The 16325-nt window shown below is 41.9% G+C and overlaps 1 protein-coding gene across 9 annotated transcripts in view, besides 1 other annotated feature; it reads left to right on the top strand.

Annotated features, from left to right (window-relative positions):
* MSRA (methionine sulfoxide reductase A) overlaps nt 1-16325 on the top strand; it is a 374600-nt gene that overhangs the window by 189010 nt on the left and 169265 nt on the right. For 7 of the 9 annotated variants that reach the window (NM_012331.5, XM_011543822.3, XM_011543823.3 and 4 more), the window contains one exon: nt 1803-1922. The exons of 1 other annotated variant lie outside the window; for it this stretch is intronic. In NM_012331.5, the coding sequence (NP_036463.1) occupies nt 1803-1922 (120 nt within the window). Of the gene's footprint in view, nt 1-1802; nt 1923-7121; nt 7617-16325 lie in introns of those variants that run through there. One more of the 9 variants, XM_024447162.2, reaches the window with a different exon arrangement.
* Nucleotides 8582-8777: a silencer, noted in NCBI's record as "fragment chr8:10109393-10109588 (GRCh37/hg19 assembly coordinates)". NCBI's record gives its function as "represses an EF-1alpha promoter that drives an FKBP-Casp9 reporter gene in an ReSE screen in phorbol 12-myristate 13-acetate-treated (for megakaryocytic differentiation) K562 erythroleukemia cells {active_cell/tissue: K562(+PMA)}" and the evidence as "EXISTENCE:reporter gene assay evidence [ECO:0000049][PMID:32094911]".

The raw sequence follows: 16325 nt of genomic DNA on the forward strand, positions 1-16325 counted from the left end.
GAGCTCTCGTGGTCATTTATGTGCAGTGAAGCTGCTCCACTCACCTACAGCTTGTCCTTTTCCAGAGAATCCCTATCATCCTCCCCTCATCCCAAGGAATGCAACAAAGGAAAATTAATAGTGAATGCTTTTGCCGGAGACCTGTGGATACTTAATTTTTATAGATACTCAATAAATATTTATTTATATTCACTAGCAGCAAGCAATTCACTTGTAAACTGGTATAGTGGCGGGTAACATAAGCATAAGCAGATTCTTATGTTATTTCTTTGAATATTTTGCTTTTCTTTAAAAATGTAAATTTTTTATTCTTAAAGTAATAGGAATTTATTACAGAAAAATTTGAAGAATGAAAAAATATTCCTAAATTGTCACCACTGTAATACAGTAGTGGTTATTATCACTTTAGTATACTTAGTATATTTTCTTCCAGTCTAATTTTGGTGTGAAAATCTTTAGTAGTTATAATAAAAGTGCATGTAATTGTGTTTTTTCCTTTTTACTTTAGCCTTAGGTAATTATGATATCACAAACATATTTCCATGTTGCAATATTATCACAAAATAATTTTTTACTGCATTAAATTTTATTATTTGGCCTTATATTTTTATTTTAACCTATTTTTGATTAACACATTTTAGCAAATAGAATATCTTTGTATAATATATAACTTTATTCAAATTACTTTTTGGGTTTTGTTGCTTTGGATTTTTAGAGTAGAATATTAAAGAGTGTCAAGAATTTCAGTAAACTTCTAATTTATCTTTCAGCTCTGTCGTCAAATCTGGTAAATCGAGTGAGTGTAGGAGTGGGAGGTGTATAGTGTATATTAATTTGCCAACTGTTGTTCCACTCAGGATCTCAGTTATACGTAACTTCATAAAGCCATATAAAATTTGAGTGAGGCAGTAATCTTTTTTACATCTAGAAGTGGGCCATAGAACACCAATTGTACTGGACAGTTTAGAAACTTATGGTACAAAATGAAGGTTCTGTATTTGGAGCCCAAGGAAGTGCATGGCAACATTTGCGACGTGCGTGAGTGTGTGTGCTCTTGGGAGATGGGTTGTGATTTTCATCAGATGTTCAAAGAGATCCTGTGGCCACTGGTATACACACAATGTTTGCTAGTTGAATGGAGTGCTACTTTTGTGAGTTTGTTTATTGTTGTCATTCTCTCCCTGCCTCCCTTCCAAACCCTTCTCCTGCGTTCATTATATCCAGAAATAAAACTCAGAAAAATTTACTTTTGGGTAAGCAGTGATTTATCACATGCAAGTTTATAGTGATTAAAAAAATGAAAACTAAACACATATGTGACATTGTTAATTGGAAATATGCATGAATTTATGTTGATTTTGGAAGTTTTCACATTAAAATGGGTAACTTAGTGCTATACTTTGGTAAAATATTTTTTTAAAAATATGTGACCAGGGAGTGGATCATTCAGTAAATTTTCTATTGATTCAAGTTATGAATTGGATGTGGAAATATGAAAATAGTTACCCCCTTACTGTGTTATTTGGAAATGTGTAGATTTACTAACTCCTTTAAATTTGAGGCCTTCTAAGTTTTTGCACAGCTAAAGCAAAGAGATATTCTATGCAAATAATTGTAAATAAAATTATTTACCAATGTTAAGAACTCTCCTTCTTTAAAAGATAAAATCTTAGTCATTTTTGGTTATCAAATGACAGGAGCAACTTTTTTTTTTTCTTCATGTAACAGGTGTATGTGGATGTGCAATGACCACTTTGTTTTGAATAATCAGTATCCTTTTTTTTTCTTTTTTCTTTTTTAAGGAATGGGATGTTTCTGGGGAGCTGAAAGGAAATTCTGGGTCTTGAAAGGAGTGTATTCAACTCAAGTTGGTTTTGCAGGAGGCTATACTTCAAATCCTACTTATAAAGAAGTCTGCTCAGGTAGGAAGAATTTGCTTTATTGTATTACTAGGAGAAACAAGGGAGGGCTTGTCACTACTGTTGGGTGACAGGCTCTTTAAAATGGAAATATGTTTTTTTAAAAATGTTTCTTCAATCTTTATTATTTGTATATATATACTTGTGAGCTTCTCACTTTATATGTTTAGAAGATGATAATCTTCCTGTGGAGTGCACCATTTAGCTTTTGCTGTGGAACAACCACTCTAAAACATGGTGGCTTAAAACAGTCATTTTATTAGCTTGTAATTCTGATGATCAGCAGTTGAGGCTGGGCTCAGCTTTATGGTTCTTCTGTTAGCCTCACCTGGGATTTGCTCATGTGGCTAAGGTCAACCTGTGGGTTGCCTGGGGGCTAGTCAGCCTAGGCTGCTTTACTCTTTGGCCTGGCAGTTGGTGCTGGCTGCTGGTTAGCACTAACTGCCAGGTGGGGTAATGGGGATGATGGACCATATGTCTTCAGCACACTGGCCTGAGCTAATTCACATGGTGGTGGATGCAGAGAACCTAAGAGCAGCAAGAGAGGATGAGGCCCATTCTCTGTTTGTGTTACGTTCACTTTTATACCATTGGCCAAAGCAAGTCATATGCGCTAGCTAGACCAGAGCCAATATGGGATGGCTCCCCAAAGGCAAGGATATAGGAGGTATCAAGAATCGGGACCATTATTTCAACAATCTACCGCATGAGACAGACATTTCAGATACTGGTTGTGTTTTCTGTAAGGAAAAACACTGAAAGCCGTGCTATAATGCAGGGATCAGCAAACTATTGACTTGACTCATAGGCCAAATCCCACTTGCTGCCTAGCAAACTATTGACTTGACTTATAGGCCAAATCCCACTTGCTGCCTATCTATATAAGTAAATTTTTGTTGAAGCACAGCTATTCTCATTGTTATTATTATATATTATCTATGAGTGTTTTCATGCTACAGTTACAAGAGTTGAGTGCTTGCAACCAACTATGTGGTCTGCAAAGCCTAAAATATTTACCGTTGGGTGCTTTACAGGAAAAAAATTTGCTGACCTCTATTCTAGGCTAACAGGGTAGGCAGATGCCCTCATGGCAAATTCTGTCTCGAATACCAGATTACCTCTCTGGACTTGTTTCTGACCTAAAGGATTTCCTTTCCTTTCCTGCCAGCTCAGATAGCATTTGAAATGTTTTTCTAAAAAAAATTATATTCACCATTTTAAGAGGTCTTAATAGGGAGGGAGTATCTGGAGTTATAGTCCACTATTATTGATGAAAATGGGGTGTAAAATGTAAACAGTTTTATCTTTCTAAAATAAAGTCTTAAATAAGTGTGGTTTGTGGAGGATGCGCTCAGCCCTCCAAGGGCACCATGAATGATGGAGGGGAAAAGCTGGAGTTTGGGAGCTTGGTGAATAGTGAGCATGTTGATGTGTTTGCTACAATATGAATTCTATTTTGAAATAAAAATTGAGCTGTACAACAATGAAAATATTATAAAAATGTGCATGTTCTTATTTTTTCTTGCTCTAGAGAAGGATTGAAATATTCTGATTCGTATGGAGAATGTGGTGTAACAAACAAATATTTTAATGGTTATCCTATTTTTTTTTAACTTCTGTTTCAAAATTAAACGCTTATGCATAGCTATAAATAGACTCAAATGAATCCTGGAGATCACCCAGGTGTATCCTCTCAAGTCTTAGGAATGGAAATGAGTAGATTCCTTCCTGTAATTCCAGACGTGACTTAATGGCCTAAGAGAAAAAGGTTGCTAAGAAAACCTCCAAGTATCTATTGCTTTATACCTATTATCCTCAAGCAGCAAAATGTTAACAATCAGTTAGAATATTGTGATTCCTTGTTTGCTCGAACCCTTTTCAGTTCAGCTGTTTACCTTAATAACAACATGATAATTGCCATGTGTTAAACTCATGCTATATGCCAGACACTGTAATAAGCACTTTTTCTGTCTTTGCTTTTCTCTAAGCAGTTCCATGAAGTATGTCAGCTTCTATCTTTTACAGAGGGAGTGTAGAGGCTCAGAGAGGATAAATAACTTACCTAAGGTCATACCTAGCAGGAATCCCTCCCTCATTAGCTCTCAGCTCAAAGTCTATGCCATTGACCATGGTGTAAGTCTCCCAGCTGTCATCATATCCCAGCCATTCTCCATTCATCCCTTTGCACTTTCTTCCACCAAGTCACAAATTCTCTTTCATATATGTCCCTCTGGTATATTTTTAATTATATTAGTGTGCTTTTAAATGATTAAGGAGAATGCCAAGGAAATTCTTTTGTCTTTCTTATGTTTAGAAGGAAAAAGGGCCAAGCCAGTTCATGCAAACAGCTGGTATGTTAGAGGCCTCTAGCAAGTGGTAAAGTATGGAAACCACAGAGACTGGTAAAGAACTCGATTGGATATGAACACTACCTGCTAAGTTAACAGTAGCATTGGGAAGCATGGTTGTCATGGAAACTTGTTCCTGATTGGAAAGGGATAGTTATAGGGTCTTACCCATACACAGAAGGAGAGACGATTTCTTTCCCTAGGCTTTTTTGTTGTTGTTGTTCTGATCATAAAAGGGAAAAACAAAAAGGCAGAGAGGAGCTATGATAGAAAGGTCCCTCTGGCACAGAAGTGGTACAGCCTTCAGATCCCTGGGAATAACAGGGAAGGAGAACAAATAAGGTCCCTCGCTAGAGTAATTATGGTAACTAGCTAATTAAAGATTTTTGACCAAGGAGAGGGGTGGGGGAGACATAAAGCAGGTTACACTGGCGGGCCTCCCCTCTGAAGCCTCTGGTGCTCAAAGCCTTGCTGAACAAGTCAGCCCTGGAGTGGTCTGACTTAAGAGAAGGAAAATAAACAAACAAACAAACAAAAACCCCAAGGCTCTGGTAAGATGCATAGTAATTGCTGAGGTCCATTGTGGGAGAAATACTAGTCTGTACTCTAGTATCTGCTTGCAATTAAGTTTGTAAAACTTTGATCACAATCCGTGAATATTTTGTAAAGATTTTTACTTTTATTTTGTCAAGAAAAGAAGCATAGAGACCTGGATTGTGTGCAGATTCCTTCTCTCATAAAGCGGTATGCTTGAGCTTAAGGTACCATGTGGTTTCTTGGGGCAGATGCCAGAAATATAGGAGGAGGGGTTAACAGAATCCACAGGGCCAGCTTTACCACCGCTCTGTGCAACCTCTTATGTGATGACGCACATCAGAGCTTCCACAAGCATTATCTCAGCACACAGGTGGGTGAACACAGGCCAAGGAACCATCGGCTCAAGTTTGCTACCCCTGCTGTGCCAGTGGGTCTGCACAGCCTCAACAGGGGAGAAGTGAGCGAGAGAGTGTGGATGTGAGTGTAGAAGCAGTGTGTGTCCAGAGAGGGTGTGGATTCATATCCGAATGGTATTTCTATGTGGAAATTGATAGGCCAGTGACTCTGAACCCCAAATCGGAGTTGTGACTAGGCATATAGAAAAGATAACATGGCTTCTCATAGTAGCTGAGAGAGGAGGTGTGCCCATCGTGGGCTCACTAATGGGGCTGTTCATGGTGGGCAGTCTCCATTGCTTGGTGCCACTTGCACCCGACATGCGTAGAGAATACAAGGGGGCGGTCTCTTAGGAATTTAGAATAAAGTCGCCCATTGAGAGTGGCAGTATAAAATCAGCCTGCTCTGAATCACAGTGGAGATGGACAGTCACTTGGAAGAGAGATTGGTTTCTGTGTCTGTAGGATTTCAGAGTAACCTAGTGGAATGCCCTGACTGTGTAAAAGGAGCATAGGTCCTCAGTAGGAGGTTGGTGAGCTAGAACAGCCTGGGAGAGGGGAGGTCCTGGCCACTCTCTTGGGTGTTCTGGGCAGACCCACAGAGCCTGATACCCTGGCACTTTTAAGTTGTATCACTAACCTCGTGTTCTGATCCATACTCTGTAAAACTTTCTAATCTTTTGTCCTCCTGTGGGGATTATTTACAGAAAGAAAATGCAATGAAATCAGGTTAGTCAGGCAGACAGTTCTAATTCTTATTTAGAATTCAATAAAATGCCTCTCTGAGATATATATCTCAGTCTATTGTGAGTTTAGTCTGCACAGGTCATTCTCTCCAAATTGAGTTAACCTCGGGCTGAGTTATATGACAAAAACAGAGTTTTGGTCGGACCTCCATGATCTTCCAAGGCTTCAGTTGCCTCCTGCATTTCCCTGGAGATTTCCTATCCCTTGCATGTGCCCATAATTTCATTTAAACCTGTTTTAAAAGTGTATGTAACTTTTAAGTAACCTATAATCTTCCCTTCCTCAGGTTCATTAAGCACTGAACCAATAGCGCACAGGCTGAGAAACTTACCTCACCCAGATGTTTTGGGCCTGAATTCTAACCCCTCTGAAAGCCACCCACCACCAGCTTCTGCACCAGGCACCCAGTCTTGGCTGGGACACAGGGTAGCATCTCTCATGGCCAGCAGACCTCTGTTGGGCCATGTTCTGATGCATTTCTGATCTGTCTCTAAGAGATGTGCTGAGAAGTAATTCATGTCTTAGTGGCCACTGTTTTGTACCTAAAATGATGTCCAAAGAGTCATCCATCCATTTCTGTTTCCTACAAGCTCAGCATCTGGCTGGCACTAGGGAACCCAGAACGTGGACTGGAATAGCCATGAGGAGCCTAACTTGTATATAGGCCTTACTTGAATAAATTAAATATGCCACTTACTGGAAAGGTGCCACATGTAAAGCATTGCACCAGGTCCTAGGGGAAGGTTGGTTTTGATGTAAAGAATACTAGTTCCTGTCTTCCAGAATTTTCTCTATAGTCAAATGAAAGCTTGATCTTTCACATTTGTTTTAAGAAGTTGGGCTGACACTGGTTTTCTCTTTACACATGCACACACACACACACACCCTCAAACAGTTGTTATGCAAACCAACTGATTAACTGGCATGCTGTTGCTTTACTACATTGATTTTAGAAGTAATTGAGCTATTCAGATTCCTGAATACTCTGATAGAGAATTATTCTTACATTTTGTAATAACGACTGTACAGATGAAAATATGAAAAGACATTCTGCAATGGATAAGCATTCTGGGTTAATTTCAGTGCATTAGCCTAATATACAAATACCCCATTTCTGGCAAGAAAACCCAGGATGTTCATTCACTGGGTAATATCTTTTCATATTTTGCTTACAGATGTTCAGAACAATTCCATGTTTATTAGTCTATTCAAAAGCTTTTAGAAATCTGCACAGCCAAGTGGCACTGAATCCAGAAGCATGAAAGGAGCTGCACAACTTTTCCTCGTAAGATTTACACAAGCAGCACGGGAAATCTGAGGCCCAGACATTTCCTTATCAACAGAATACTCCGGTGGATTTTCAAGCAGGCTGTTCAGCAGAGGTTTCGAGCAGGAGCCCAGGTGTGGGAAGAGCGGAGTGTGGGAGTCCTCGTGTGACCCTCTGGGGGTGGTGATGGAACTGACTGTATGGTCTGCAAAACCTAAAATATTTACTGTCAGGTGCTTATGTGTCCTGTCCTGAGCCCGTTTCCTCTCTTGTAAAATGGGGCAATGCTGCTTGATGAAACCAGTCAAGTTGTGGTTGGATTCTTATATGTAATAAACCTGCACATTGTGCACATATACCCTAAAACTTAAAGTATGATAAAAATAAAAAAAATTGTTGCAAATCTGAGTATTTGAGAAAATCTGGGATACACACTTTCTAGCTCTTGGGCTCGTTAAAGATGAACATGATGGATCATGAAGCATTGCTTGGCAGGGCTGGGGCCAGCTTGTGGTAAGTATGCCTGGCACAGCACACGGAACCCGTTTTCTTCTCTTCTTCATCTGTGTTCTTAGGAGGTCAGGTCATGTCACCCCCTTTTCCAAATGCGTGTGATTTTTTTCCTTGATGCTTGAGAACTCTAACTGAGCAAGGAATAATAATTTCCCCACTAATGTAAGACAACTCAGTATACTTTTTTTTTTTTAAGTTTGACTTAATTTCTGAAGTGTTTGGGTGGAAGCGCATGTCTATGTATCTTACATGAGATGAATGATCCCATTCTTCAGAGTAGGGATGAGTTCTCTTATTAACAGATTTTATCAAGCAATGTAAAACTCATTCTAAATTCCTTGAAGACTGCATTAAATCTCTTTTTAGTGCATAGTCAGTCTTATTGTACTCATTTCAATGTCAGTCAAGGTAAATTACTAAGTTATTGACATACTCCTGAAAATGCAAGAATTCTGGTGTTCAGTTCTTGCTACAAGCAATTTGATCGCTTTTTATTCCTCTTATTTTAGGCGTAAAATTGGACCTTAAACTTGTAGCAGGCAGGATAAAAACGCTTATCTCTCTCAAACCAAGAGGCAGAAAGCAGGCTTCAAGAGCAGAGACCCTTGACTCATACCCTTAGGACCAAAGATATCTGCTCACCCAACCATCTTCCCCACACCCACATCCAAGCAGCTATGCAAGACAGATTAGTTCAGTGAATGGACCCATTGCCTGAAGAAAAAGTATAGGTAATGAGAAAACAGCTGGTTTTGTTTATTGTAAACCTCAATCACCAGAAATAGCAAGCTTGGCTTCTCTACCATCGGCACCCCTCTGAAGGGTTGACATGGTGGGGGGGGGGGGACATAGGTCATGGGGACGTCAAGGCATTTGAGACCTAGAAGGGCCTTAACCATCTTCCAATACAACAGCTTTCAAACTGGGTGACCATGGAACCCTCAGGCTTTCAGAAGGGTTCTGCAGGAGCTCCAGAGGTAATGATGTTTGAACTCGGTAAGATTCAAGCTGCTTGGAGAGGCCATTCACAGCTTTCAGCTGTATTATATGTTGATGTCCTGACTAATAACCTTATTTTGAAAAGTTATTAAGAATGTTGGGAAACCTCCAAGACTGCTTTCTTTGTCGAGTAAGGGAACTGAGGCTGAGAGAGATGAAGTGATTTGAGAGATTTTATTAGAAGGGTTGAAAATGTGCTTGTCTTCTCAGATCACAGTGTGACTAGAACACCCAAAAGAAGTTCGAATCGTACACCCATTCTGCTCCTCTCAGTGAGGTGGACAGTCAAGGATTCAGAGTAGGGGTGGCTTTGGAGTGGGAAATGTTAAGATGTGAAGAGATCATAGTTTTGTCATTTGGTTCCTGTTTATGATTTCTGTTAGGCTGGATTTTTTCACCAGTATTGAGTCCTGGGGTTTCCTGATAGATAGTTCTTGTGTCTGCTAGATGCTTTAAGTCCTGTCTGCGATGGCCAGTAGCAGAGCTAAGGGTGTGACAGTAAAGAGCGCCTGCAGGAGCCCAGGACTTAGGACTAAGAAAGGAAGTCATTGAACTGGGGAGTGGTATGCTTGCTCCCTCACCTCCCTCCCTTTCAAGCTTCTGCAAATTGGCTTCCTGGCCTGGGCTGGGGACTGCCTGGGCCTGCAGAATCAGGGCAAGTGGACTGCAAATTGATTTGTCCACGAAGCATGGGCTGCAGACCTTACATATAATAAGCTGGTACGCACCTGCTCCAGTTTACAGTATACAAGGGTGATGGCATTGCAATAAGTAAAACATGCACTCAGCCAGTGCTATTGAATTCAGAGCAATTTTTCACCATCACATAGGTCCTTCATCCACCGGTTCTAAAATTTGAGTGACTCTATGGGGGTTCTCTGGCAGTATCTAGGCGAAATCATGTGGTCTCTCATACTCACGTAGGTATGAACCCTGTATGCTGATAGGTAGTTCAAAGTTGAAACCAAAGAGACGTGCACATTTTGCTAGAGGTATCCCAAGTTTGCCCAGTTATTTAAATCCAGCATTAGACATCAGAGAGGGTGAGGATTTTCTATAGCTTCAAATAACTGAAGGCTGGCAAGCAGCAAAACATAGGGCCCCACAATCCTGCTGTCCTCGAATGGTAAAAAGAGGCATTTAGTGCCTTTCCTTCCCCTTCAGGCCATTGGCTAAAGACTCCAATAATGTCAGGGTCTGTTCTTTGTCATTGAAGGGCAAGGGGTGAGTGAATTGGATGGTTTATGGACTCTCTAAAGACTATTGCATGTGCTACGTGTTCTTCATATGACCTTGATATTTTAATATTCTATAGTTGGTTTGGCTGTTCAACTCACGTCTCTCCTTGAACAGCTTAAATCACTGCTGAGGAACAGGTGCAGCGGTCAAAGGTCAACAGACTGACAGACTTTAAGTAGTTAAATGTGTCAATATTTCAGCAATTTTGGTGGTAAAATTCAAATAGGGCATTTAAGTAGAAAACAAATGGAAAGGAACAATAATAAAAACATCCTTTTACCCATTCAACACTAGAAATAGGTTATTCTTTCATTGTTTTAGGATTATATTCTCAAAGACTTAGAAGGGAGATTAAGAGGAATTTGATATAGCAAGCAGTTTTTAAAACATAATTGCAAAAGCAGTTGATGAATGTGCCCACACTGATGTTTTCAAATCACATCTAATGGAGCCATAATGTAATATGAGAAAATAACCTTATGGGGGTCAGGGGGTTGAGCTTCTCCAGGAATTTTATGGGATATGCTGGGTCTTAATTACTTCATAATGACTGACAATTTTTAGAGCCTTAGAATAAAGGTTTCTTTTTTTTTTCTAAGTTACATTAAAAATAAATATCTGGGTCAATTACTGGCCCATCCATCTGCCAAGTGAAAATTGCAACAAGACAGAAAAACACGGTTGCTCGTCATGGGAGTGAAGCACCCAGACGTGAGCGGAGCGGCTTGGGAAGAGGTCACTGTTGTTTCCTGGGGCCGTGCCTCCGATCTGCCGGGGACTCCTCAGCCTGGGAGTTATTTACAAACCACCGAGGCCCCTCAGCTGCGGGAGAAGCTTTGCTTAATAAATCCTGGCCTCTGAGGCGTGGAATTGTGAAGTCTCTCAGGGAATGCCGAGGGACAGAACTAATTTCAGCGTCTTCGTTCTTTGAGAATGGGAGGTAGCATCACGTCTCTGACTGGAGCGTTCTGATGAGGGTGACCACCTACCCACAACGTGTTTTGAACTCTTTTATTTATAGTTGTTGCCTTCCTCTTTCTTTCTTGACGTTTCCTCTTCCTCCTGCTTCCCCTCTCTTCTCTTTTGCTTCTTCTTTCCTTGAGTTAAGGATAAGTTGTTTTTTCCACTCTGGTTTATTGTTATAAGGCTTAAAAGAAGTCACAGAAACTGGTGACTTAGCACATAATACCCATCTTAGGTTTAGAAGAGCAATTGAAAACATAATGTTCTCAATGGGTATTACAATAGTAGTTTCTTGCCATGACCACTTTGTAATCCACAACTCATTCTACCTACTAATCTCTGTCACAGTCCCATGAGATAGAGCAGCATCAGTGCTGCCCCTTACACAGGTGCCAGGGGTCAGAGACACTTGCACAGTTAGTCAGTGTGCCACCTGGCTCATTAGAGGTTTTGACAATCTCCGCTGGTGGGATTGAAAATAAAACAGGGTTTATGTTTAAGACTGTCTCCTTCTAAGCCTTCACTCATTTCCAGCAAATGCATTTTCACATGTCTTTCGTGAGCATTTTAGGATAATTTAAAAATATTAAGCTATGCTAGAGCTGTGCCAAAGTTTTGAAAATGGCTTATAAAAAATAATCTAGAGATCTGGAAGCGTTTAGATGGATGTGATCTACAGAAACACGGGATTTCCTTTTCTTTAGCCGGATGGACTTTACAGGTCATCTGTTCCGGTGATTTGTTTGAAACTTTTATTAGGCATTACAATCTTTTCTTCAGGCAAAAATTTTGCACAGAAGTCTATTAAAACAGTGTGCAAGATGCTGTGATTGGGAGAGGGGGCTTCCCCCAGCACTGTCCTCAGTATTCTGGCCCTAGAGTGCTGCCTCAAAACCTACCAGGAGCTTAGTCTGTAAAGCAGTTGAGGACTAGGGCCAAGTTAACTTTGGGCTGAAACACGCAGTAAAATGAGAAGGCCTTCCACACCTCGCTCATCACTAGCCCACTGCAAGGCTGCACTTTGCATGCTCATGGAAACTCGCAGGATTATTGAGGAGGCTGTGCAGAGGGAAGGGGCCTTTTAATTCTCTGCCTCCTTAGAGGTGCACCCTGGCGGGCCAGGAGCCCCAGGCAGAGATGTTTCTGTACAGGTCCCAGGTTTTGCAGCAAGGTCCCAGAGCATCCCGTTCTCCCAGTGAAATTCCGTTTTCAATTTCAGCCTGATTCCCTGAGTGAATTTAATGTAAAGCTGTCCCTTCCCCCTCGGTCCCGGCAGGTAAGGAGCTGCTGGCGACTGTCACACCAGTGCCCCTGTCAGCAGACCTGCTTGGCTCTGGAAGGATGGGTTGACAAAAAGCCATAGGTACCTGAACTTGTGTGTCTTTGTGCACAAGAAAAAATAATCTGTCACCTTGTTTAAGGCGTGTTCGGTTGCGTTTGATAGTTTGAAAATGCTCTGGGGAACAATCATCTGTCTGGTTTTGAGAGTCAGGTCGTAAAATGGTGAAATCACATACTGGGGGCTGGAGTGGGGCGGTGGGCAGTGTGGGGGCATTGGGAGGCTGCTGGTTTTTTTTTTAAAAAACAAGTTTTAATTTTTTCATCTAATAAACTGTTTTTTGTTTAAAGAGCAGTTTTAGGTTCACAGCAAAACTGAGCAGAATGTAAAGAGAATTCCCATCTATCCCATCCCCCCACCATGCCCGCTATCAACATCCCCACCTGAGTGGTGCATTTGTTACACCCCAGGAACCACACTGACACGTCCTCAGCAGCCATAGTTTGCGTTGAGTTCACTCTTGATGTTCTGACATGTATAATGAGTGACCTGTGTCCACCATGAAGTTATTGTACAGAGTAATTTCACTGCCCTAAAATTCTCTGTGCTCAGCCTATTCAGCCCATCCTCCCCCCCCAACCCCTGGCAACTGCTGATCTTTTCGGAGTCTTCATGTGTTTGCCTTTTTCAGAATGTCATTGAGTTGAAATCACACAGCCTATGTCCTTTTCGGATTGGCTTCTTTCAGTAATATGCACTTAAGTTTCCACCCTGTCTTTTCACGGCTTGGTAGGTCATTTCTTTTTAGCACTGAATAATATTCCATGGCCTGGATGTACCCCAGTTTGCTTGTCTATTCCCCTGCCGAAGAATATCTTGGATGTCTCCAAGTTTTGACAATTACGGATGAAGCTGCTGTCAACATAGGAAACTGGTTTTAAACGTTCAGTAGAGATTAATGCAAGAACTCTGGAGTGGGGGAGGCCTGGAGGCCTGGGTTGAAATGAAGTTCTACCAGAGAGGATTTCTGCTAGCTGATATCAGGCAACTGGGGGCTTCATCCATCAAAAGCACTTAACATTGAAACTTACTTTTCTTTTCTGAGCCACATAAGTAAGAAGAATTCAGACGGCACCTCTGTCTAGGTGGGTGGCTGGTGAAAACTTCCAACAGTACTTTTCTCTCTCCAGAGTGTAAGAGTTCAGATTTGCATGTGTCCATTCTTCCCTTTCTGTGGGGCAGAGATACATGTATTTCTCTGTCCCCCCGAGGCGAAGCTATAGTCTCTGACCCCCTGAGTTTCAGCCCAGTGGGAGTGTTTCTTGTAAGATTTCTCAGTTTGGGAGGACCTTGGGCTTCATCTCCTGCCCTCCTTCTCCTGCCCCAAATGGCTACCAAGGTGGGTCCAGAAGAAACTCTCAGAGGTCTGTAGTTTGTTTATCTTCTAGGCTTTTTATACATTTCTTTCCTTCATAATAGCTCAGTGAAAAATGTTAAAATATTTTAAAAATATATTGTACCCAGCATTTTAGTTATATCAGGCAGGAAGATTGCTTCAGATGTTGATGTGCCCTTTCTTGGCCAGGGCATTGCAAGGCAGGGTTAGTGCTCGTAGACAAACAAGGATTTTTTAGGAGGTGATGACACCATTTCCATCAGGGGTGGCCAGGAATGGGCACGTACAGACAGAAGCATTCAAGTGACTTGAGAGGATCCTTAGGCAGCCTGGAAGTAAGAGGAAGATGACAGGCCCTCTCCGTCTCCACAAAAAACAGTGTAATTAAATGTGGAATACCCTTACCCCCGGAACATTTGACCTCAGAGACCTTGGGTCTCAATGCATTGGACACTGACAGCCCATGTATTCTACTCTGTGTGTGTCCATAAACCTTCTTCATTTAGTTTATTTATTTTTTGAGATGGAGTTTCGCTCTTGTTGCCCAGGCTGGAGTGCAATGGCGTGACCTCGGCTCACTGCAACCCCCGCCTCCCTGGCTCAAGCGATTCTCCTGCCTCAGCCTCTGGAGGAGCTGGGATTATAGGCACGCACCACCGCGCCCAAGTAGTTTTTTGTATTTTTAGTAGAGATGGGGTTTCATCACGTTGGCCAGGCTGGTCTCAAACTCCTGATCCCAGGTGATTCATTTACTTTCAATTAACGGCACCTCAATGGCCTCCCATTTGACTATAGATGTTAAATAAGTACAGTTGTCTCTCCGTGTTTGGACTAACTGCTCAAGGCTTTGATGAGCAGCAGAGTCTCATTTAGAAGGAGACTTGCCTTGGTTCAAGAATTCACTCTCTTACCTAGGATGTAATTCTATTTTTCTGACAGGACATGCTTGATGGGACTGATGTCTCCAGCCAGGTCAGCGCAGCAGAGAGGTGAACACCAGCATGTCTTGTTAAGAAGCAGGAGATGAGTTCATGAGATTTCCACACACACACGTTGATGGCCTTTACATATGAGCTTGGAGATAGAAAATAATAGCTAATAGGTTTTAGTCGTTTCCAAGTGCATGGCATAATTCTAAATTCTTTACATGTGACCACTTCTTCTATTTTCATAACAGCTGGGGGATAGGGAGGGGGTAGGCTAGTGTCCCTGTTTTTAAAATGAACAAATCCAGGCATAGGCAGATTATCTGACTTGTGTAAACCCCCATAATTAGTAAGCGGCAGAGCCAGAATGGACGCAGGGACAGTCTATGTCTAGAGTCGTTGTTTTGAACTCCTATGCTGTGTCTCTCTCAAAGAGAACAAGAAAGTACAAGTCACTACAATGAAAAGAACTCCATTGTCAGTGAGACATACAACACCCTTCCAAAGTGAGAAAGACAAAACACCCAGCTAAGACTCACTGGCTAATTGGAAAGCAGGACCTGTTATTATGTAAAGGCTCCTGTCCTACTAGGTGAGATTTTCCTTGAGGGTAGGGACTATGTCTTTTCATCTCCCTATTCTTGTGACACCTGGAGCAGGCCTTGCTCTCAATAGGCTCCTGATCAATGCCGAGTTGTCACATCCCCTCATGCGTTAAATAAGGCCGTGTCTGAGGATCCCACTGGAAAGTCTTGGAAGACTCTGGGACTCTTGTAAGCCCTGCACGGTGCTTCCTGATTATATGAGGAGTTGGAGAATATCATGAGAAAAGTCCAAAGTCTCTCCTAAGTTCTGAACTATAGCTCCCTTCTCCCACGTGGCAACTCTTCCCTGATGGTTTAAAGAGCAGAGGTCTTGGCAAAACCAGGCTTTCCCTCAGATTGTTCAGCAGAGGGCTGCCAGTTATCTAAGACCTTTTTAAGAAGCAGATAGACAGCGAGGTGCGGAGGCTCATGCCTGTAATCCCAGCACTTTGGGAGGCCAAGGCGGGCAGATCGCTTGAGGTCAGGAGTTTGAGACCAGCCTGGCCAACATGTCGAAACCCTGTATGTACTAAAAATACAAAAACTAGCCGGGTGTGGTGGTGCAAGTCTGTAATCCCAGCTACTTGGGAGGCTGAGGCAGGAGAATCACTTGAACCTGGAAGGTGGAGGTTGCCGTGAGCTGAGATCTTGCCACTGCACTCCAGCTTGGGTGACAGAGACTCTGTCAAAGGAAAAAAAAAAAAAAGAGGCAGATATATATGTTCATCTGTTGCCTTTGACCTTGTCAAATCTATTGAAGTTCTCAATGCCCTGAAAACAAATGGACTTAGATCTATGGCCACTCTCTGGCAAAACTGAGGGAATTTTAAACTCTAGCATCTTTTGGGCTGTAGCAAGGTGACAAAATTAAGTTTCTGGAGTGCCCCAGAGGCTAAATAAATGCAATTTTGTCATTTCTGGAGTGTTCTGTAAATATCGAGCCTATAAAACAGAATGCAGTTACAAGAAGAGTTAATTCACAGGTTGGTGAAAGGAACACTGCTCATAATTAGAGTCAGGTGGTAAAGGACATACTTCCTGGTGAAGCAGGTGTGTAGGGACCCGTGACATTCTCCCATCTGGAGTTGTCTCCTCCTCTCTCCCTGCTCCTGTGGCTGGGGGTGGGATTCCTAAGTCACTGTCCCTCCCTTTCCCCATTCCCATTTCTTCTGAGTACTTACTAGGTGCAAAACATTTTTCTGGACATTTGGGA

Source organism: Homo sapiens, chromosome 8 (genome assembly GCF_000001405.40).
Source record: "Homo sapiens chromosome 8, GRCh38.p14 Primary Assembly".
Taxonomy (NCBI): Eukaryota; Metazoa; Chordata; class Mammalia; order Primates; family Hominidae; genus Homo; species Homo sapiens.